This window comes from Homo sapiens, chromosome 2, assembly GCF_000001405.40.
Source record: "Homo sapiens chromosome 2, GRCh38.p14 Primary Assembly".
Lineage (NCBI taxonomy): Eukaryota > Metazoa > Chordata > Mammalia > Primates > Hominidae > Homo > Homo sapiens.
This window is the reverse complement of record NC_000002.12, coordinates 194724319-194748867: the sequence shown is the minus strand read 5'-3', so window position 1 is coordinate 194748867 and position 24549 is coordinate 194724319. Positions and strand designations below refer to the sequence as shown.

Sequence of the window (24549 nt, the reverse complement as noted above, 5' to 3'; positions counted from 1 at the left end):
TAAAAATCTAAAATTAATGATATTGTACTTCTTATGGTGGGTGAGAAAAATAATGAATGTAAAATATCAGTCTGGCATGAGAACAGTAGTTTTTCATTATTACCAAGAATTTCCAAGCATGGTTACAAGGAAGACATTTTGCTAGCTACTCTTTGGGCATATAAAATTATAGAGAAGGGAACCTATATATCATATTTTGGTAACTTTCTACAAGCAACAACTGGCTAAGCTATTTACATAAGTCATTTTATTCTCACCATAATGCTCTGAAGTGAGTTTTATTTTATATTTTTCATTTTCTCAGTGGAAAAATCAAAGCTAAGAATGATTTAATTAACTTGTATCTCAACTAATAAGCAGCAGAGCCAGGAATTTTGACTTTGTAATTCATTTGTTGAAGACATGTCTTCCATGCAAAGGGACATTGAAATGCATTTGATAGACATAAGACAAAAAGGAAGAAAAAAATGCAAAATACTATGAATGACATGTCAAAAAAGTGACCTATAAGAATTTAGTGATTAACTCTGAACTCGTCAATAGAATGGTTGAGAAAGTCAGACTTCTTTGAGATCTTAAAGGAAATAAAAGTTGAGATTAGTAGTGATTAAAGGAGGATGAGAACAATGGAGGCATAAGCCAACAGAATATAAAAAGGTGCCAAAGAAGAGGTGAGCATGGGTTTTCATGAAACTTCGAGAAGAGAACTTGCTTAGAAAAAGCAGGGGGATTACTTTGGGGAATGAGGAAAGAAATGGCGGAATAACACAGGCATGGTTTAGACATAGGATAGTAATTAGATTGTTATGGAACTCTAGTAATTCATTTGAATTTTTAAGACAACTGAGAAAATAACATGAATGGCATCATAATATTTATATGGAAGGCAAGTGCTTGATAATTTCTCTGAATTTGAAAGATAATCTAACAAAATACAAACACATGCACACACACACACAGTATGATTTTCCTAAAATGAAAAGACAGCTATTATAGTTACATATGTGCATTATTCATTATCCTTTATTCTTATAAAGGAGATTAGAAGGAATGATACAGCATAAATGAGCCAGACGGCTATGAAAAAAAAAAAAGTCTGAGAGGCTACGAATAGAAATGGAAGTCTTTGTGATCTCTTCCTACTTCCCATACATACAATTACCACTACACAGATTTAGAAAGAAGAAATGATAATATATTTTCAGCTTTTTAGTGCCCTATCCCGATGAAGTAATTTCATCCTGCTGCTCTCTAACTCAAGGAACCTTTTTTGTCAGTTTCTTAGGGTAAGAAGATTGAACACTTTGAATCCTGTACTCATTTTATATATATTTATATATATATGCTACATATATAGCTAATAAGCTATAAGCTTATAGCTATATAAGCTTATATTATAAACTATAAGCTTATTATATAACTAATAAGCTATATATATAATATATATAATATATATTTATATAGCTAATAAGTTTTAAAATGATTCATCTAAATCTGTAGCAGACATCTAAGGTTTTAGGAAGAAAATTGTCTGAAACTAGTATGTGATTTATATACACATTTATAATTTTAGCCAATTTAAAACAATATAATGATATCATTGCTCTGAAATTTTGAAAATTCTACTAGTAGGCATAAACAGACCATAAAAGTAAAAGCAGATTCATTTTTTAACAAAATCTTCAATTTCCACAAATTCTTAGTTTTGGTGTTTTGTTGATTACGGTATCTTCTCCACTCACTTTCCTACCCTCTCCTCACAAACATTTAATAATTTTCTTATCTGACTTATTTAAGTTTGTTATAGAGAAAATAATTTCAACAGAAACATTTAAGAATAGCAAAGCCATGATTTGCTATTTTTAGGGAATGTTTTAGGAAAACAAGTTTTTAATGTAATAATTTTTCTGTAATGATATCTAATATTCTAAATGTTTGTTCATATTATTTAAAATGTTTAAATAACATTTTAAGCCTCAGATGGGGTAGAATTTTAAAAGTCCATATATCTAGTAAGCTTTTTTCTTTTACTATACATGTATTTATTTTTCTTGGCATAAGGCTAAACCAGAAAAGGAAAACAAAATCATATACATATTAGGTTCATTTGTTTGGGTAAAAAACAAACAAACAAACAACAACAAAAAAGACCACACACGCACAAAAAAATAACAGGTTACCAGTGATCTATAGCTAACAATAACAGGTTATGTGGAAAAGGATTTTATGGTAAATATTTCTTTTTAAAAATAAAGCCATATATAAACTTCAAAACGAGGTGTGTAATGCCCACAGGGAACTGTTGACTATACACTAAGCCAGCCATTATTGCCTCATTAATCTTAATTTTCTTTTCATCTAAGAAATCTCTGTGTCCATTGTGGAAGATTGTTTTGTTTTCTACATCAATATGTTCTGTATAGTTTTGAGGTTGAAAGACAACAAGCTCATAGCTAACTTTGAAACAGTGGGACATGTCCTATCATAGCCTTCTATCTATAACGTAGCAGAACATCCTAATTATTCATTCCATCCATATGATTAGAAAGACTCCCACTAAAAAAGGTACTATTATAAAATTCATTGCTAAATGGACATGGTAATAATAAGTCCTATTGTGTTTCATTTTGTGGCAATAATTAAGGCATTCATGATAAGAAAAGTGGAAACATTATGCCTGCTAATACTGTATGCTTCTGCTAATCTACTTATTCTAAAATTTTATAAAATCACATTTTACATACTTTTAAAATCTATTCATTTCCATTTTCTTTCCTACTCTGAGAATGCATGTAGCATAATATTTTCTCCACGTTAATTATGGCTTTAATTCCTTCTCTCTGCTCTAAATGTCTTATGTTTGATCCTTGCCATGCTCAGATTAGAACATTCACTGCACTACATCTCGATCACATTGTCTGTGTATCCTCTCTATACTAATCAGAATTTCAGAACTGGTTAGCATTTTTTATCCCTACTCCTTTCCTAAGGCAGGGCCATTGGGTAGATTCCTGTGGCTCTCCCTTTGGATCAAATATACAAAAGCAGAAAAGCTATAATTTAAAATGAAAAGAAAATCCCAAGTGTAAAGGAATCTTTCAGTTGCTTGCAATTAGCCAGCCACCGTTCCAAAGTCTCTGAATGTGTTTCATTCACCAGCCTAAGCCTATGCTTCCTTTGTTCCTAGCAGGACAAACTTGCTCAAATGAAAATGAAAGTGTTAAGAGACTTAGATTTTATTAAACATATAATGGCCAGTAGCTCTCAATGAGTCCCTGTTTTACAACACATTTTGGCAAGGCTGTTTGAAAGACTGATGCAGATTTGAGACAAGCAATTGAGAAACTAGAGCCAAGGTAAAAAATTTATAAACTCTTATCCACCTGAAGAAATGCAAAGAGTGGAAGGAATAAGGTTATACACTGAGAATCATGTTTACCAAAGGTGTAAAAGTGACCCTAAGACTAATTGTAAATAGGGTTGACAAAATGGAGAGCAGAGCTATAGCAGTTAATATAACTAGCATGGGAATAAAAAGGGCAGTTTTTGTTGTTGCTGTTTTATTTTTTTCTTGTACAACAGGCTTTGCTTTTCCTGACTTTGAATCTACAGCCTATTTCACAAGCCAGGAGAGATCATAGAGAAGTGTGAATTGTGGATTAGCCCCATTAACCTATTGTAACCAAAGCACCTTCTGCGGCTCTTCACGGGAGGGAATGGGCTGCTTTACCTTTGGAAACAAAATCAGCATGGTAATCAGACTCAAAGGTAAAAATAGCAAAATTGGACTTGATCAAGTAAAAAAGAAAAGCAAGGCATATAATAAACGTTATGTTTTATATTTTCAACAATGTTTGGAGGTAGAAAGATGTATAGTTTTGTTATTTACTTTTTAACATCCATCTCCATTGATGCAAATGAGGATCAAATCTTGTGCTTAATACCATATATTTAGGAAGTGTGTAGCTGAAATTCAAACTCCTGTCTGTATGATTCTAAAATATTTTCATTCCAAATATGTCTCAGAATCAAAATCAAAGGTCTGCCTAGAAGAGTTTTATTTATATAGAAAGAAATAGAAAATGAATAGATATTTATCAAGTGTCTATTTGCACCAGATTCTGGGCTAGGTACTGGGAACAAAAAGGCAAATAGGACAGAGTACCTACCTTCAATGGGCTCAAGTAAGAAGTTAAAAGCATTTATCCACATCACAAGCCTTCAGAGTGGACTTCTTTTTTTAAACCTCATTTTATAGTTAAGGGAAATGTGGCTCAGAGAGGCTAAACGACTTAGCCAGTCAGCCAAGAGTCAATTTGTTCCATTATACATTGCCGACTCATTCTGCAAACAAAATCAAATAGAATAACACCAAAATTATTATTGAACTTTTTTTTTTTAATTTGAGCATTTGAAAAATCAAGCACGTACCCAAGCAGGCATTTGAGGGTAAAAACTGTTGATTAATTATCTTGATATGATTCATTGTATAATTTACCCTCCCATCACGTCTTTTGTGTTGATACTCTTTTACTATACCCTTTAAATAGTCTTAAGAAATTGTCCCCTTAAATTCTTTTTTTTCTCTCCTTCATTTTTCATTTTATTGTAAGAAAAATACTGTTTTGGTTTTCATTAATTTTGCTTACTTTTCTCCTAATTCCCCAATTCAGGCCACTTTATTAATAGACATTGATTCTGTTGGAATAAAACTAACATGAGAAGAATTTGAAAAGAAAAAAAAAAGTAACATCATTTATTTTCACATTATTAAATATTTTCTTATTCAAGGAATTTTAGAAATGGATTTAAAAAGCAGCAGAAGTTGGGAAAGCCCTCAATAAATGGATGTGATAGTCATGTGATGCATTGTTTTCATTTAGGAGATAGGTGCTATTACTTATTCCAATTTTCATTCATCTGTCTGCTGGTGAGAATTATGAAAACGATTGAAAAACAAAGCATCAGACTGAACTACTATGTTTGGATACTTTTGAGGATTTGAAAAGTTAACACTAATAAAACAGATATTTTGTAAATTATCCTCTATTATATTTTCTATTATTTTGAAAAATATTTTAAAATATATAATCATACAAGTTTTGCTTTTGAAAAATATAACTTAAATCTGCCTTCACAAATAAATATTTAAATATACTTAGAAATATGATTCCATATTTTTTATAATGTTGACTTTTAAAATGTTTCACTAAACATTATTTTTCATAGAAAAATTAGAAAATATAAATAAGTTTTTTTAAAAAAATGTTTCACTGAACATTATTTACCATAGGAAAATTAGAAAATATAAATAAGTTTTTTTAAAAAAAAAAGGAGAAAGGACCTTAATAACACATACTACCTTATGATCTATTTTCAACAATTTTTATTCATCTCTTTCTGTTTTCTATTGTTCATATATCTTTAATGTTTATTTGTAGACTAATTATACTTTTAAAATTGCAATGTAATTTACATACATTGTATATACTTATGCTGTGTTTGGGTGTGCAAATGCCCATGGGCTTTGTGTTTTGAATTTTTGTATAAAAATGTGTTTAATGAAATGCTTACTCTTTCCTGTTTAGGAAAACTAGGATATGCTGCACACTAGAGAGATAAACAGTTAAACATGTAAGAATTATCTTTCCCTTTTTGCAAACTGTATTAGAAACTAATAAACAATTTTAGTCATATTTTCCTAAATATGACTTTGGGGTTACCTAAAATTCTAGAGGAGAATGCATATTTGTAAACTAGAAATAATCATTAATCATATGTATAAAACATATATAAGTATATGTATGATTTGATGTAGTTAAAAGGTAACTCATCTAGATATCTTTTTCTGACTCTGTTACTAGTCAGCTTTATAGAATTGGACTAATAACTTATTTATTTTTTTTCTGCAAAAGGAGAAATGTATGTGAACACTGGAATGTTTCTTATGGCTCTGAAGCAACACCACTTTGTGATTTAACAAATTCTTTAATGTGTCATCAGATTAAAATAGAAGCTAGCTAGAATGAAAAAAATTCACTCTATATGTTGTATTAAAATAAATTGTAAGACATTTGCAGAAAACTACAGTTCTCTTACATTGTTCAATAACGAAGGACATTCACTTCAAAATCAAGTTTTTATGTTCTTTCCGTTAGTCAATTATTGCAATTTTTGCGTGTAACTATAATGAATAAATGTCTCATATGTAAAAGTGTCCAACACATTTCCTTCCAAACCCTAATTGTCTTAATTTCTCAAAGCTATTCTTGGTCATAAGCTCTACTCCAAATGCTGAAAACAGTCAATATTAATAAAAGAATACAGAAAAAAACATGGACAATTTAATTTGTCAAATGAAAACATTAATATGTTTTTTGAGTTATGCACAAATGAATAATTTATCCTTTTATGGAAAACAACTTTGAAAAATTTCAACTATTCACTATAAAACTGAACTTTTATATACCAAGTATTTCTAACATTTATATTAAATATTATTTTCATATTTGCATAAAATATTTAGTTCTCCCTCTTTCTCTCAAACAAGTGTTATATGATAAAGGAAAGGGTAAAAATTTCTAAGTTGAAGAATTATTAAAGTATTTAGATACATAACAGATACCTTGATTCCCATTTGCCTTTTTTTTAGAGCTTTGCCTCTGGGAGTATTTTGACTTGAAAGCATTTGTTGAGGAAAGAAGTTGTGTTGATGGTGAAACTCAGAGACAGATGTACTTGTTTTATAAAAACTTTTTAGCTTCTCTGCAAGTGTATTAAACATGTTGAAGACAGTACAGGATAAAAGTAAAGACAAAAAACAATCTGAAAAGTGAATCAGATTATTCAACATGAACATTTCTCTCTGAATGTTTTCAAGTATTAGAAGACCATGAGAAATGTGTATGCTGTAATATATATTCATTTGGAATAATATCATTCAACTGAAGATATGTATACCCTTAATAATTATAGTTAATTTTTATATTCAAGATAGACTGTAGCATCTAGCATGATTGAAATTTTTATGTAGTCACTTAATTTTTAATATGATCTCACTTTCAAGAAATGCCACATCTAAACTTTTAAGTATACATTCACACATCAAAGTTATTTTTCTTTTCTTTTTTTCAGTTTAATTTTCATTTTAACAGTTCAGAGAAATGCATAATTTTTTAGGTACTACCACCCATGGCTTCTTATCACCTTTCAACTTTATCTGAGGTCTAGAAGCAAATCACTTATTTGGAAAGCTTAGCTCATCTCCAGTGGTTTCAGAAGCAAGTATAAAGTAAAGGCAAACAAAAATATAAAAATAGTCCTCTGTTCTGAGGTTCAGCCCTGATGGATTTCATATTCCAGAACCAAAGTTTACAACAATCCTATTGTGTAAGATTGATGTCACTAGAAAATGTGGTTTGTTTCTACACAGATTCCCTCCCCACCCCCCCACATCCATACACCATCCCGCCTTTTCTTTTGTTTTCTGGATATGCCTATTTCAATGTATCTCTTGTTACCGTGAGATATCACCATTTTCAATTTCACTAAAGCTTATCCTTAACCTCACAAACTTTTAGATTCTCACAGCTTCACAAAACTATCTGGTCTCTTCAGAGTTATTATGCTCAAATTTTTATGTTGTGGCTTTTCATTTTCAAATTTTGTCCTTTGTTATAAAGTCAATTATTTATCTATTCATTCTTAGTATCTTATTTTATCTATTTTTAAATGTTAACTTATAATAGTTTTGAATTGTCTTATTTGTAATATATATCCTTTTTTTCCTTTTAATCTTGGAACTAATATGCTCATTTTTTAATATAAACTTTTATTCGAAAAGAGTTTTAGATTTAGAGAAAAATTGTGAAAACATTACAGAGTTTGCTTATTTTTCATAGCTGGTGTTCCCTATTATTGACAGCTTACATTAGTATGGTACATTTGTCCTAACAAATGAGCTAATATTGATACGCACTTTTTTTTTTAACTAAAGTTCATACTTTATTCAGATTTTCTTAGTTTTTTCCCTTACATTCTTTTTCTGTTCCACAGTCTGTTTCAACATACCACATTATATTTAGTGGTTGCTCCTTTTGACTGAGACAATTTCTTAGGTTTTGCTTGTTTTTGATAACCTTGACAGTTTTGAGTGTTACTGGTGAGGTATTTTGTAGACTCTCCCTCATTTGGGAGATTTTTTGTTGTTGTTGTTTTGTTTTGTTTTTTTTTTTTTTGCTTTTTTTTTTTTATGACAAGACCGATTATGTGTTTTGGGGAGGAAGACCACAAGGTAAAGTGACATCACATAATACCAAGGATATATACTATCAACATGACTTATCACTGTTGATGTTGACTTTGATTATTTGGCAGAGTAGTTGTTTTTTGTTTGTTTGTTTGCTTATTTGAAGTTTCTCCACTTTAAAGTTACTCTTTTTTCCCCTATCCATACTGTATACTTAGGAAGGAAGTCACTATGGCTTAAAAATATTTGAGAAGTTATGCTTTCTATTTTTGAGGGTAGAATATCTACATAAATTATTTGAATTCATCTGCATAAGAGATTTACTTTTTCTTCTCAATCTATTTTTTTAATTCAGTAATTGATTTCTATCAATATAGACTCATGGATATTTATTTTACACTTTGGGTTTTAATCTAATACCACTTTATTTATTCTGTTGCCCAAATTGTTCCAGGTATGGACATTAGTAGCTTTTTTAGTTAGCTCTTGTGTCCCTTTAATTTACTTCCAATGCTGCTTTTTGTTTTTTGGGTGTCTTTTGTTTGTTTTAGTATTCTACTTTCTGGCATTATACTATGCTTCAAACTCATCATAAATATTTCCTTCCAAGTCCTGGAATGAGACATTTTTCTAAGACTCACTGTTTCCTTCTACTGAAAATGATATTAGAAACCAAAATCTGGGTACTAGGTGTCATGGTTGCCACTGGTGTGTCATTGCCTCTAGATCTGCTTAGCTGAGAGAATAAGGAACTGTATATGTTTCTATATGTGTTGTTAACTACATATAGGTTAACTATATAGTAACTATATATATTCCTATATGTGTTATCATATGTGTATATATACATACACAGACACATGCATATATACATACACACATAATTCTCTAAATATCTTTTTTATATAACTATATGTACCTATTTTGAGCCAAGCATGAGTTCACAGTGATGACTTCTAATTTATTACCACATTGATCATTCTACGATTCTACTTTTGCTGGTCTGTAATGACCCACTTTAAATGTGAGAAACTGATTCCCACTGTTCATCATTCTTTAATTGTTCAATTCGAATATATGTCCTTCATATATATATTCGAATATATATGGCTTCAGAATTGTTAACCTGTACCTAGTTGGGAGAAATCTATCATCTCAAGTACAATATTTACATCTGGTTCTTACCACATTTGGTTTCAAAAACTCCTTTCCAAAATCGCTTAGGTCAGCACTTTCAGGTTTGTTGTTTTTTTTTTAATTTGTTATATGGTTAGTTTGTCTCATTCTTCATTCTATTCTGATAACTCTTGACCTTCTAAATGATCTTAATGTTTTCCATACATAAGGGTTGTATTAGTCAGGATTCTCCAGAGGGACAGAACTAATAGGATATATGTATATATGAAAGGGAGTTTATTAACTCACACAATCAAAAGGTGTGTCCCATGATAGGCTGTCTGCAAGCTGAGGAGGAAGGAAGCCAGTAGTGGCTCAGGCTGAGTCCAAAAGCCTCAAAAGTAAGGAATCCAACAGTACAACCTTTAGTCTGTGGCCGAAGGCCTGAGAGCCCCTGGCAAACCACTGTTGTAAGTCCAAGGGTCCAAAGACCAAAGAACCTGGAGTCTGATGTCCAAGTGCAGGAAGCATCCAGCATGGGAGAAGGATGAAAGCCAGAAGACTCAGTGAGCCAGCTTATCCTATCTTCTTTCACTTGCTTTGTTCTAGCCATGCTGGCAGCTGATTGAATGGTGCCCACCCGCATTGAGTATGAGTCCTCCTTTTCCAGTCCACTGACTCAAATATTAATCTCCTCTCGTAACACCCTTACAGACACACCCAGAAACAATACTTTACCAGCTATCCAAGCATCCTTCAATCAAGTTGACACGTAATATTAACCATCACAAGGGTTTTTTGCAATAGTGTTCAGTTTTAGTCTTTGTGCCCTATAGGCCTTGACAAATTCATGATGCCATGTTTCCATGATTACAGTTTCATGTAGAATGTTTTCCACCACCCTAAAAGATCCCATGTGATTTACCTATTTACCTCTGCCCCTACCCTGTATTCCTGGAATCCACTGATGTTTTTAAATACCTCTATTGTTTTACCTTTTCCAGAACCTTATATCATTGGAATCATATAGTATACAGTTTTTTAGACTGTCTTCTTTCAGATAGAAATATGAATTTAAGATTCATTCATGTATTTGCATAGCTTGATAATACGTTCATTATTGCTGAATAGTATTTCATTATATACATGTACCACTCTCTCTTTATCCATTTACCTCTTAAGGGACATATTAGTTACTTCAAGTTTTAGACAATTATGAATAGGTCTGCCATAGATATCCACATGCAGGTTTTTATGTGTTCTATTTTTTAAATCAGTTGGATAAATACCTAAAAGCATGGTTTGTAGTTCATAAGGTAAGGAAGTGTTTAACTTTGTAAGAAACTGTCAAACTATCCTATTGTAATAGTTTGTCCTTTAATACATGTTGTATAGGAGTGTGAAAGAAGAAATTTTTGCCTTGTTTCCAAGGACATCAGTAGGAAAGCATCCAATCTCTGACGATCAAATATATGTTTTTTTTAAATAAATGTTTTCATCAAGTTAAGGAAATTATTCTTTATTCCTAATTTTCCAAACTTTTTTTTTTATCATGAATAGGTATTGGATTTTATCAATGCTTTTTGTGCATCAATTGATATGATAATATAATTTTTTTTCTTTATCCTGTTGATATGGTGGATTATGTTGATTGATTTTTTAATGTTACACCAGACTTGCTTACCTAAAATAAATCTTACTTGGTCTTGGTATACAATTCTTTCTATATATTGTTGGATTCAATTAGCCATTATTTTACGAGGGATTTTTGCATCAGTGTTTAAGAGGATAATGGTCTGCATTAGGTTAATTCTGGCCTCAGGGAGGGAGTTAGGAAGTATTCCCTCTGCTTCTATTTTTCTAGAAATGATTGTGGATATCGGTATTATTTTCTTCTGAAGTGTTTGGTAGAATACAAAAGTAACTGGGCCTGGTACTACATTTTTTCAAAGGTTATTAATCATTGAGTCAAAATCTTTAATTGGTATAGGGCTATCATGTTATCTATTTCTCTTTGTGTGAGTTAGTTTGAGTCTTTCAAGAAATTGATACATTTTATGTAAGTTATCAAATTTATGGCAATAGTCATTCTTGGTGTTCCTTTACTATCCTATTATAGTCCTTGGGCTAATAAGTGATGACTTTTGTTTCATTCCTGATATTGGTAATTTTTGTCTTCTCTGTTCTTGTCTTGGTTAGTCTGGCTAGAGTTTAGTTTAATTTATTTTTTCAAAGAACCAGCTTTTGTTCATATGTTTCCTTTTTACTTTTATCAACCTTCTGCCATCTCCTTATTTTCTTAGTTGAATTTGCTACTTTTTCTTTTGTTATATTTTTTGATTATGTAATAGATGGTGTCTTATGCTGCTATAACAAAATACCTGAGACTGAGTAACATATAAACTGCATAAACTTATGGCTCACAGTTATTGAGGCTGGGAGTACAAAATTAAAGTGCCAGCAGGTTCAGTATCTATTGAGGGTCTGGTCTCTGCTCCTGAGAAGGGACATTGTTGCTGCATCTTCCTGAGGGGGTAAACATTATGTACTCACATGGTGGAAGGGATGGAAGGACTAAAAAGTACTAGCTAGTTCCCTTGAGCATTAATTCCTTCGTGGGGGTTGTGCCCTCATAACCTAACTACTTACTAAAAGTCCCACGTCTTAATACCATCACTGTGGGGTCTGAGTTCCAACATATGAATTTGGGAGGGACACATATACTTAAACTCTACCAGATGGTATGAAATATTTCACGAATGTATTGTCACTGAAGAGAAACATATTTTACAAAGGAAATCCATGATATGTGCTCTATTATCCCAGCAGCAATTTCTGTATCTTTTCAGTGCACCAAACTTCACAGTCTGATTTTGTGAACAACATTTTATTCCTGGCCTTTTCTTTTTACTATTTTTTTCTTTTACCCGAAGTCCTACATTTAATTCAAATTATATTTTATTTTATTTATAAAGAAGAAATGTTTACACAATAAATCAATACATGCATAGATACATACTAGAACAGCAGTTGTTGATGACTCACTCCATATGTTACTACAAGCTAAAAATGGACTACCACTGCTCCACATCCACATTTAGATATAGCTGTGAGGACAGTGATGAGAGGGAAATCTTCCCAACAAGCTGAACTGTGAGCAATACACATTGTTATCACCTTAGTTTCATGGAAGAAGTCATCAGAGGTAAAGGTATGCTTGCAAACTTGAGAAGTGGCAATGATTTGGTTTGTTGGTGAGAGGTCTGAAAGGAGGAAGAGAGAAAGGTCCAGAGGCTAAGTAAGAGTTCAGGAGAAGTGGCGTGCTGATGGAGGTATAGGAGTGGACACAAATGCAGATTTGTTTTTGTGTCATGTTAAAGCCTCATTCAAAAGAGGTACTTCAAAACTAAGTGAACAAGATGACTCATCTGGGTCGAACATCCTCTGTCATCAGCCATTTCAGTACTTGTACAGTGGGCCTATGAATGAAATAGACATGATGATACATGTAGTGCTTATTAATGAGCACAGTAACATAGGGCTTTTCTCAACAAGACTCATTTATCTGCTGTCATTGCTGAATGTATGACTGATGGTAAGCCCTTGATATGGTACTACTTAGATTGATTGTCCACATCTTTACTACATGGAGGGGAGGGTTGCTTATAGTCCCTGAGATTTAAATTGTATTCTGGATATGAATTTGTTATCTCTGCCCTCAGTGCCTTTTTTTCACCTCTATATAAATACTTTTTTAAAAAAATTATAACTTAAATTCTGGGATACATGTGCAGAATGTGCAGGTTACTTACATAGGTATACACATACCATGATGGTATGCTGCACCCATCAACCCGTCATCTACATTAGGTATTTCTCCCAATGTTTTCCCTCCCCTAGTCCCTCAACCCCCGACTGCCCTGGTGTGTGATTTTCCCCTCCCTGTGTCCATGTGTTCTCATTGTTCAACTCCCACTTATGAGTGAAAACATGCAGTGTTTGGTTTTATGTTCCTGTGTTACTTTGCTGAGAATGATGGCTTCCAGCTTCATCCATGTCCCTGCAAAGGACATGAACTCCTTCTTTTTTATGGCTGCATAGTATTCCATGGTGTATATGTGTGACATTTTCTTTATCCAGACTATCACTGATGGGCATTTGGGTTCGTTCCAAGTCTTTTCTATTGTGAACAGTGCAAAGTAATTTATATATTCAATGTTATCCACATCAAGCTACCATTGACTTTCTTCACAGAATAGAAAAAACTACTTTAAATTTCATATGGAACCAAAAAAGAGCCCATATAGCCATGAAAATCCTAAGTAAAAACAACAAAGCTGGAGGCATCATGCTACCTGATTTCAAACTATACTACAAGGCTACAGTAACCAAAACAGCATGGTACTGGTACCAAAACAGATATATAGAGCAATGGAACAGAACAGAGGCCTCAGAAATAATGCCACACATCTACAACCATCTGATCTTTGACAAACCTGACACAAACAAGCAATGGGGAAAGGATTCCCTGTTTAATAAACGGTGTTGGGAAAACTGGCTAGCCATATGCAGAAAAGTGAAACTGGACCCCTTCCTTACACCTTATACAAAAATTAACTCAGATGGATTAAAGACTAAAACATAAGACCTTGTACCATAAAAACCGTAGAAGAAAACCTAAGCAATACCATTCAGGACATAGGTATAGGAAAATACTTCATGACTAAAACACCAAAAGCAATTGCAACAAAAGCCAAAATTGACAAGTGAGATCTAATTAAGCTAAAGAGCTGCTCCACACAAAAGAAACTATATAAAGACTTCTAGAACTGTGACTTACTGTCACAGGTTTCAGCTGGCATTGTCTAGGGCCAAGGGATGCATTTAAATCAAAGAGAATTTGACAATGAGTACATGGACCATAAGATTCGTGAGCCCAGTCAGATACTGCATTACTGAGTAGCTGCTATCCTGAGCAAACATGAAAACATATTTTTAAAAGCTATATTCTTTGAACCAATGACTTATATAGTGCTGTGTTTCCAACAGATAGAGTGCATGGGCCCAGGAATCAAGGAATAGAAGTAAGAGTGGAAGTTCAGTGGCACGATCCCGGATCACTGCAACCCCCACTTCCTTGGTTCAAGCAATCCCCCTGCCTCAGCCTCCCGAGTAGCTGGGCTTACAGGCACCTGCCACCACACCCAGCTAATTTTTTTGTATTTTTAGTAGAGACAGGGCTTCACCATTTTGGCCAGACTGGTCTCAAACTCCTGACCTCAGGCAATCTGCCCTCCTTGGCCTCCCAAAATGCTGGGATTACAGGAATGAGCCACCGTGCCTGAGGTGACTATGTAATTCTTATCTCCATGTAATTCTTATGAGAACCTGAGGCTTACAGGATTAGAATTCTTTGTCTTCAGGCTTCCATCAGGTTCTCAGTAAAATTACAATGAATTTATAGCTACAACTCTTATCCTGTCATTTTTGAGTTCCTCATACCAATAGAAAAGCAGGCATAAAAGAAGTTACTGTAGTAGGGTGGGGATAACTGACCATTAACATGACGAGAAATGAAGGTTTTTGTAACATAAAAGACTCAGTGAAGATGTCTGAAACTCAGAAGATTCCTAGAGGAACCTCTTGGCGTTTCTATGTGAGATAATAAAAAAAAAAAAATAAGCTGATTATGACTTTAGCCATGTCCTGGTAAGGGCAAGGTAATCGGGACTCACATCTCATGAAGGTTTGATGACAACTTTCAGAAAGGTAGATCTATTGAAGTGTTAGCTGAAAGTAAGCAGAAGAAAGATGGTGAATATTAACTATAGTTTTGAGACTGTTGCTTTTAATATTAAAGCTCACATTTTAAAGCTTTTTTTTAGATTGTGCTTGGTTACCACCCTGAAGCTCCAGTAATAGAGCTGACTCTCTGTGGAGGACACAAAGTTCTGACCAGTAAAAAGAGCTGACAGCAACACATTTACCAGTCATCTGTTTGGGTGTACATAAATATATGTAGAGATGTAGTTCTCAGGACTCAAGACTTCTTAATATTTTCCAATAAATAGGATGCAAGCATATGGAACTATAGAACCCACTGGTAAAAAAGGAATCATCTACTGGCTGAGACAAGAAAGAGGCATAATACTGTGCATGCTGTTTGTCAAATACCCATAAATATATCCTCTGTAATTTTCATTTAGAAAATATTTTTGATGGCCGGGCGTGGTGGCTCACGCCTGTAATCCCAACACTTTGGGAGGCCGAGATGGGCGGATCACAAGGTCAGGAGATTGAGACTATCCTGGCTAACAAGGTGAAACCCCATCTCTACTAAAAATACAAAAAATTAGCCAGGCGTGGTGGCGGGTGCCTGTAGTCCCAGCTACTGGGGAGGCTGAGGCAGGAGATTGGCGTGAACCCGGGAGGCGGAGCTTGCTGTGAGCCCAGATCGCGCCACTGCACTCCAACCTGGGCGACTGAGCGAGACTCTGTCTCAAAAAAAAAAAAAAAAAAAAAAAAATTTTTTTTGATGTGTATGTGTCACATTTTCTTTATCCAGTCTATTATTGATGGGCATTTGGGTTGGTTCCAAGTCTTTGCTATTGTGAATAGTACTGCAATAAACATATGTGTGCATGTGTCTTTATAGTAGAATGATTTATAATCCTTTGGATATATACCTAGTAGTGGGATTGCTGGGTCAAATGGTATTTCTGGTTCTAGATCCTTGAGGAATTGCCAGTGTCTTCCACAATGGTTGACCTAATTTACATTCCAACCAATAGTGTAAAAGCATTCCTATTTCTCCACATCCTCATGGAATACTATACAGACATAAACAAGAATGAGCTCATGTCTTCTGCAAGGACATGGATGAAGCTAGAAACCATCATTCTCAGCAAACTTAGACGGGAACAGAAAATCAAACACTGCATATTTTCACTCGTAAGTGGGAGTTGAATAATGAGAACATATGGGCACAGGGACGAGAACATCACACACTGGGGCCTGTCTAGGGGTGGGAGGCAAGGGGAGGGATATTAGGAGAAATACCTAATGTAGATGACGGGTTGATGGGTGCAGCAAACCACCATGGCACATGTATACCTATGTAACAAACCTGCATGTTCTGCACAAGTATCCCAGAACTTAAATATACTAAAAAAAAAGAAGAAAAAAAGAAAACATTTCTGAATAAATATTCTAAAAATATCATGGCAGAACATTTTTGTACAAAATAATGGCCTCTATTATGGATCGTGAATGGTATTATATCATGAGCTAAATAAATAGTGAATATTTCAAATTGATCATGACTCAAGTGCAGTGATGTATGGCCAGAACCAGGAAATGCTTTTTAGCTTGAAATTGAGTGACTCCCTATTAAATAAGCCTAAATTTCCTGCCACACATTATATTTGGCTAGCCAAAATACAAGTGTGAATACTGCTTATGTTTTGCTTGGCTTACTTTTAATCTATTAATTAAACATTGTCTAATCTGTGAAACATAGGATGCTTTTGGCAGCTGTGCCCCACAGGATTTAATTCCTAAAATGACTAAATTCCAATCACTAGTCATCTGATTAATTGTGTTTTAAACTAATCAGATGTTCTGTAGATTTTTCTGGTTTCTACCCTATTTCCAGGAACAGAAATTTTAATGCAGATTTTTATGTATGGATACAGAAATGAGAAACCTAATCTCTGTAGCAGCTGATCCAGTAGGTTGGCGGGGGGGAGAAGAAAAACAAAACCTCAAATTTTTGAATGTTACAACTGGATTTATTTTAAATACCTGGTGTCTTTCAGCTTTGATTAATCCCACATGTGCTTACTGTCTGTGGCCACATGAATTCTGAACAATTATGGCCTTTTTAAATATTTTAACTCTACTCCATTTGATATGACATCTGACCTAAGGGTCCTGATGACGTCTATTAAATATTAGTAAATCTTAATTTCTTTATTCGTTTTTGAAATAATGAATACTAATTATAAATAGTATATATATACTATTTCAATATATATTAAAATAAATATAAATAGAATTATATATTTATATTTTATATAATATAAATGTTTTATTTATATTATTTATTTTATATAAATATAAATAGAAGTTTATTTTTTATTCTAATTATTCCTCTATTGATTTTGTTAACAAGGACTCAAGAACCACACAACAGACAGCAGTGACTTAAGAAAAGGAAACTATATTATTTGCATAAAATGAAACTATAATAATAAAAATAACTGTAAGTGATGTCATCCATTAAAAACTCATATTTACCATTAAATTTATTAGTACCAGAAACTGTGCTAAGCCCATAATGTATGTTGACATGCCTATAAGGAGCCTATACTTTTTAATAAATAGTTTTTGATTGTAGAAATGTAGTTTTGCTATTTTTCAGCTATTTTGACAACAATATCAGCACATTGACAAATTAGTAACTTGAAACAAATATTAAGTTGACCTAAATTCTGGAGTTGGACATGATAATACATAAAAGAAATGATCTACAAAATATGAAATAAAGTTTTAGCATATAAAAAGATTTATATTTAGATAACTTGTAAAAAAAGAAAGAGCTTTATACTACCTAAAAGTAAATTCTCATGGATTAAATAAAAATATATTAATAGAAACTAAAAACATTCAAATACAATTGTCTTCTTGCTTTCAGTTCATTGTAATCTGAATCAAGTGGAGAGGAATTTGGCAAAATAGCTCTTACTTACATGCCATAAATTAGAAAGATAAGCAAAAAAATTTAAGTTTTGATATTTACCTGATGTCATGACTACTTCTGGGGTTTCAGTTGGGCTTCCCAGATATATTTGGGTTAGAAGGTAGAAGCCAAGAGAATTGGTTCATGGATGGCCAAAAGTATCTAAGCTAAAGGTGAAGATCAAAAAGTCTTATAAATATTGAAGGCAGCTAATATTTATAAGCAAGGGAATGATTTTCTATAATCTGAGTCATAATTACTGAGACCAAGCCACAGGAGACTGACTAATGCTGAACTCAATACCTCTCTTCTAGCTATCACTCTCTGCTCCAACTTCTTAACCTCCCAACTGTTGTCACTTAAGAATCTTGCCTTTAGGGAGAAGTAGGGTTAGGCTGACCTCGAAGAGCTTCTTTCCTTTTTTTTTTTTTTTTAACTTTTATTTTAAGTTCAGGGGTACAAGTGCAGGTTTGTTACATAGGTACACTTGTCTCATGGGGGTTTGTTGTACAGATTATATCATCACCGAGGTATTAAACACAGTACCCATTAATTATCTTTCGTGGTCCTCCACATCCTTCCTCCCTCCACCTTCCAACAGGCCCCAGTATGTGTTTTTCCTCTCTATGTGTCCATGTGTTCTCATCATTTAGCTTCCATTTATAAGTGAGAACATGTGGTCATTGGTTTTCTGTTCCTGTGTTAGTTTGTTAAAGATAATAGTCTCCCTGCAAAGGACATGATCTCATTCTTTTTATGGCTGCATAGTATTCCATGGTGTATATGTACCACATTTTCTTCATTTTTTTTTTTTTTTTCAGGATTCTGCCCTTAAAAGTCCTGGTTTCTTCAGTATTCTTTGATGCATTCAAACAAAAATTCGCTTATTTGTTTGTCTGATTGTATTTTGTCCAGATTTCATTGTTGCTTGTCTGTTTATAAAAGAGATGGTTTGCACAAGGCGAATTTACTGTTATCAGAAACCAAAATTCCTCTACCAGATTTAAAAAATGATCTCTCCATGAATTCAGATGAGATTGGGCATATTCAGGGTGGTATGGCCATAGACAGCTCTCAATGAATTCAGAATTATTCAGAGAATAGCTGTGTCATTTTAAGGGCCCTCAAATATTTAAAAATGGGAATGAGAATCACATAGAATGAGCTAAAGAAAAAGGTGAAGAAAAAATATAAACAGAAATGGGCCAGATGGAACAGTTAGCCCACTGTGAAAAACAAGGTTCCTGCAATCTCAATGACAGATTAAGAGTAGTGCATGGTAGAATCAGTTGTACACACTTTTAACTAAACATCACAGTCTAAAATACCTGTCATATGACAGCTTTCCACGCTAATTTTTAAAAATATACTGTCTATATGAATAAGATTAATTCTATGTATAAAATTTGACTTAGAATATTTCGCTTTTAATTTTAATTGGATTTTCAAACCACACTTCTCATAGCTTTCATACTATTGACTCAAAAATGTAGTAGAAATCATGTTCTATAAGAGTCGCTGGACGTTTGTTGTTGTTGTTCCTGTTGAAAATGGAGAAAAAAGCAATCCTTGGTTGGCACATTACAGAGTCCTAATTTTTAATATGTCTTTAAGTCCAAGATTCTTCTCTTTTATGATTTGTTAATCTCATAAACAACTAAAAAAATTAGAGTCATAACGAACTTGTATTTCCCAAAATCTATCCTACACTTTGACTGATCTTTCTGGTATTCCCAAAGATATTTTATGAACCTCTGCTGCATCTTCTAGGAATTCTTGACCAAGGTGAATCTTAAGGAAGCTGTCACAAATTTGAGTGGCTGTTCCACATATAAGATATGCAAATCAAAGCATTACCAGAATGTATTAAATGCTCCACTGCAAAGCTTCATGAATCAAACATAGGCTAAGTCACATTGAATTCTAATTTATAATGTTGTGGTTTATTTACTGTCTAAGAAAACCCAAAGAATTTTTACAGGCATTTAATTTATGTAATCTCGAAAATGTAAGTCTAAGAAAAAGTGTGTTATTTTCCAAATAAATACCAATTTGGAGGAGAAAGAAAAAGCTCCCAGACAAATGATTTATTTACCAAAGGCCAACTAGTGTGTTAATGTTGAGAAGCAAACAACATCTTGATCTGTTTCCTGTGCTATGTTCACTTGAGCTGATTATATGGAAGCAGAGGACAGGAAGATGAAAAACAAACAAGCAAACATGAGTTTTCATGTCAAGTTCCAGTGACACTTCTGCAAGGCACCAGGCTGATCTCTTTTAGACATGCAGTTAAACCGTTGAAGTTTAACCTAAGATCCTGGGAGAAATGGTTGCATGCAGTATATAAGAGGTATCAGAGAGATATTAACCCAGGAAATAAATGGCAGACAATATATTCCTAAGCCATGGTGATTAAAATAAAAATGATAATAAGGAAGAGTTTAAACTAAGAAAGCAAAATTCCCTTTTACCTTTTGTAGCCCTGAATTTATATTTCATATTAATATAACATTCTACTGTTTTAGAACTAGATATATTATTAGACATTTCAAGCCCAGCTTTCTTAATTCATCAAACCTAGCATCTGGTATTTCAAGAAAAGATTGTGAAACTTCCTCAGTTACTCAGCATATGGTATAGAAAGTTCTATATAAGAAATCCTTCTGAAAAGTGTATGGTTTTGGTATTGATATATGAAAATAGCAATTTGACTTACTTTCCTTTATTTATCTGGTTTTATTATCTCTCTTGTCATTGGTTATTTCTCTGCAAATCTGAACATTCAAAAATATATGTATTTTCTTATTGATATTATGTTGAAAAATCAACGATGTGGTCCAGCAAACTTAATAGTGAGATTTTTCCATTTTCATGGGTTAGAGCTACCAATACTACTGAAATGCCCTCCCCAAATCACCAGATTTCTTCACCTCCAACTGTTTCATTTAAAGTTAATATTAGAACGCAAATCTCCAGATAATTGTGATTTTTACAGTGAACTAATTTTACCAGCAAGATTTAGAGGATGTTTTGTTTAAAAGAGGAAAATTCCAAATCTCTCTCCATATAAGCCTCCACTGTAGAATGCTAGTATCCTTTGTGTTAAACATCAAAATTGATAAATGAAAAACCTAAAGATTTACTCAACCATTTCTACTATTATTTATATAACTACGTGTTTAAAATGCAACAATTTATATTTATACAACTATATAGTAAAGTTTATGAGTAGCTATATTATTATATAAATTAAGGATGTTGCTATAGATGTTCTTAGTGGTCTTTAAAGAGCCAAAGGTTGAGCATATAATAATTCATGATGTCGAATTCTTTATACTAGTCTGTCTAAAAATAAGCTCTTCTGTGCCTGCTGAATTTAATCACTTAATAGTGAATAACAGAGGTCAATCCTCAGATAATAGTCATTTGGAACAAGCCAGCACAGACGGTGAGATAAGAAATTTTAAGATAAGAAAGATTAAAGCAGAAAGTTGAAGACAAGGATACATTTTTTTTTGAGTTACTGTTAAGAAACTGAAGTTATGAAACTGTTAAGTTACTGAAGAAGAAAAGTGTAGGAAGACTTAGATCAATGACAGTGATGAAAAAAATGAGTTAACTTCAATCAAAACCACCCAAAGCAGTTTAGAAGCCTGGTAAATAAATTATTGAAGCCTGGGCAATTCAGATCAGAAGCATGAAAACACCAATATGTACATATAAATGAAAAAGCATCATTGGTCAATCCAGCTATTTTCTGATAATGCAGACATTTCATTTTCACTCTACATTTCAAATGATGGTTAAAAAGCCATATATATATATATATATATATATATATATATATATATATATATATGAACCATTTATATATATATGAAAAAGCAGGATTGGCAAATCTAGTTATTTTCTGGTAAAACACTGTTTTCATTTTATTCATCATTTCCAATGGTGATCAATAATACAATGACAATTGGACTAGCTTTACAGAGAAGCAGTGTTGTATATATATGGCCATCATTTGAAGCTCTTCAAAATAATTGTGTAATTTTCAGAATATCTACGCTTTCTGAAAAGATAAAATAATTTTAGGTATTAAGATTCTTTATCTTTTAAAGCACTATTATTTGAGGTAAAAATGTATAAGTAGCTATATAGAGGGTTGATATTTTAGAATACATTATATGTAAGGTGTGGCTCTAAGGATTCTGTGAGTTTAATCTTTAGGACAACCCTAATGAAGTAGGTTTATTATATTATCCCAATTATATGTTTTTAAAAACATAGGTTTCTAAATTGTTAAGTCTTTGTCAAAGGCTGCACAACTAGTAAGTCATGAAACCGGAATGCACGCTTAGGGAGTCTGACTCTAGGGTCCAAGCTCTTTTTAACTATCCTTTCTCTCTCTCTCTCTCTCTCTCTCTCTCTCTCTCTCTCTCTCTCTCATTTGTCTGCCTATCATCTATCTTTATCTGTCTTCTATCCATCTATTATATATTTATGATCCTTCTACTTATTTTTCAGTTTCTTTGCAAACCAGCTTGAATAGAGAAGAATGGGAGAACAGTTCACTGAAATTCACAAGATCTGAATCTAAACTACACCTTTCTGGATCTCCTGTCTCAATCTGATAAGAGAAATGGTAGTTTTGATTTCTCTAATTTGTTATGCATTGAAAACTACTGAAGCAGAAGCTCAACCTAAAATGTATAACTGCGTATAATATGAAAATAAATAGAAAAAATAAAATTAAAAATGTATAATTTTTGAGCTTATTCCCTCAGCTTTTAAAATGAAAGCAAAGTGACCAGGATTATGATTAGCTAGATTTTGTTTTTAGCAGCCACTCTATGTATGATACTATCTAGGTCAGGGGTTCTCAGCTTTGCCATTATTAACATTTTGAGCCAAATAATTATTTGTGTGAGGGGCTATCTTGTGCATTTTAGGATGTTTAGCAGCATCCCTGGCCTGTATCCAGTAGATGCCAATAGTACCCCTCTCCAGTGTAACACCCAAAATATCCTCAAACATTGCCAATTATCACCTGGGAGCAAGGGTGGGGGAGGCAAAACCATCTTTAGTTGCAAATCAATGGTCTAAAACGCTCATGTTTGTCATCACTTTGAAGAAGTTATGCAGGAGATTTCTAATTACTCAGCCTTTTGAAATAAACCCTATCAGTGTGACATAATCATCCATTTACAAAAAGACTACTTGTAGTGACAATCGTAACTTTTTAAATGACATGATTTGTTTTGCCCATGTAATTGAGAGTTAACTGGCTGTGGTAATTAGTCCAACTGGACATGAATGTTTCCTCAGAAAAAGAAAAATTGAAATACTTTCATGTCTGTGAAAATTCCCTCTGAGTATGAGAGTGATGAATAATACATACAAGATAAAACATGCTCTGACTCTGGTTCACAGACCTGAGATTCAAAGAGAGGCACAGAACTATTACAGATTTGCTAATTATCACACTGAAACTATTTAAGCTTTAGGCCTTAAAGAGACCAAAATATTAACTATTAGACATTAATGGCATGAGATTTAACAGACTAGGAACCAAGATGAAGTAACACAAAAGAATTCATTAGAAAAGAAGGAAGTAGATATGAAAGGTATTTTGGCTATGAGTTATTTTCCAGAATTAATATATGTTGTGTGGCAACTTATATCTTTAGAAATAGTCTTTAAAATCAGACGTAAACTTTATAATATCATTTTGGTGTCATATTTTCTATAAAACTAATGAGACTAATCTAGATGTGGTTTCTGATCTATATTTTATAGATAGATGCATAAAAATATTTGTGGTTTTAACTTATATTATATTCAAATAATTTATCACCTGTGCATTCAAGAATATGTTGATAGGTAATCTTACATAATTAAGAGAGAAAAAGACATTTTATGTTTAAAAAGTCAACTCAAAAAATTTCTGTAAAAAATTTGAACTTATTTTTGAAATGGTAAAACATGCTTTCTGAGTTCTGTCTCTGCTACTTCTAAGGTATGTGACTTTAAGTAGCTCATCTAATACTTTTCTGTAAATTGGGGATAATAACATTGTCCTACATATTTTAAAAATTATTCTTGAAATCATATTAAATGTTAAAAATCACATCAACTCTAAAACCATTTTTATTTTAAAAAATAGAATCTCTCTAAAATAACTTAGTTACCCCATGAAAGTGAGTTGGATAATGCCAGGTTATTGGTGATCATTTACTATTCAAGAGCAGTAGAATTTCCAATTCAAAATGCAGGAAGATATTAAAATTCCATTCATGCTTTTACTCAAGCATTGCTGTGGATCATTTTAAATGAAAGACTATAAATATTTTCAGGGAGAAATGGTACACATTTGGGACTGGTGCATAGTTTTTCAACTAGTACTTGTTCTGAAAGGTATTTAGGTATTTTTTTTTTTCTGTTTAAT

At 32.8% G+C, this 24549-nt stretch overlaps 2 long non-coding RNA genes across 2 annotated transcripts in view; one reads left to right on the top strand and one right to left on the bottom strand.

Annotated features, from left to right (window-relative positions):
* The window catches only part of LINC01790 (long intergenic non-protein coding RNA 1790), a 30841-nt gene extending 12568 nt beyond the window's left edge, over positions 1–18273 (bottom strand). The window contains exons 1-3 of the long non-coding RNA NR_110223.1: positions 18165–18273; positions 12542–12843; positions 4170–4344 (exon numbers count right to left, since the gene is read on the bottom strand). This is a non-coding gene — a long non-coding RNA (long intergenic non-protein coding RNA 1790). The remainder of the gene's footprint in view (positions 1–4169; positions 4345–12541; positions 12844–18164) is intronic.
* Positions 1–22696, top strand: part of LOC105376755 (uncharacterized) — a 673333-nt gene extending 650637 nt beyond the window's left edge. The window contains exon 4 of the long non-coding RNA XR_007088699.1: positions 22629–22696. This is a non-coding gene — a long non-coding RNA (uncharacterized LOC105376755). The remainder of the gene's footprint in view (positions 1–22628) is intronic.
* The last annotated feature ends 1853 nt before the right edge of the window (positions 22697–24549 follow it).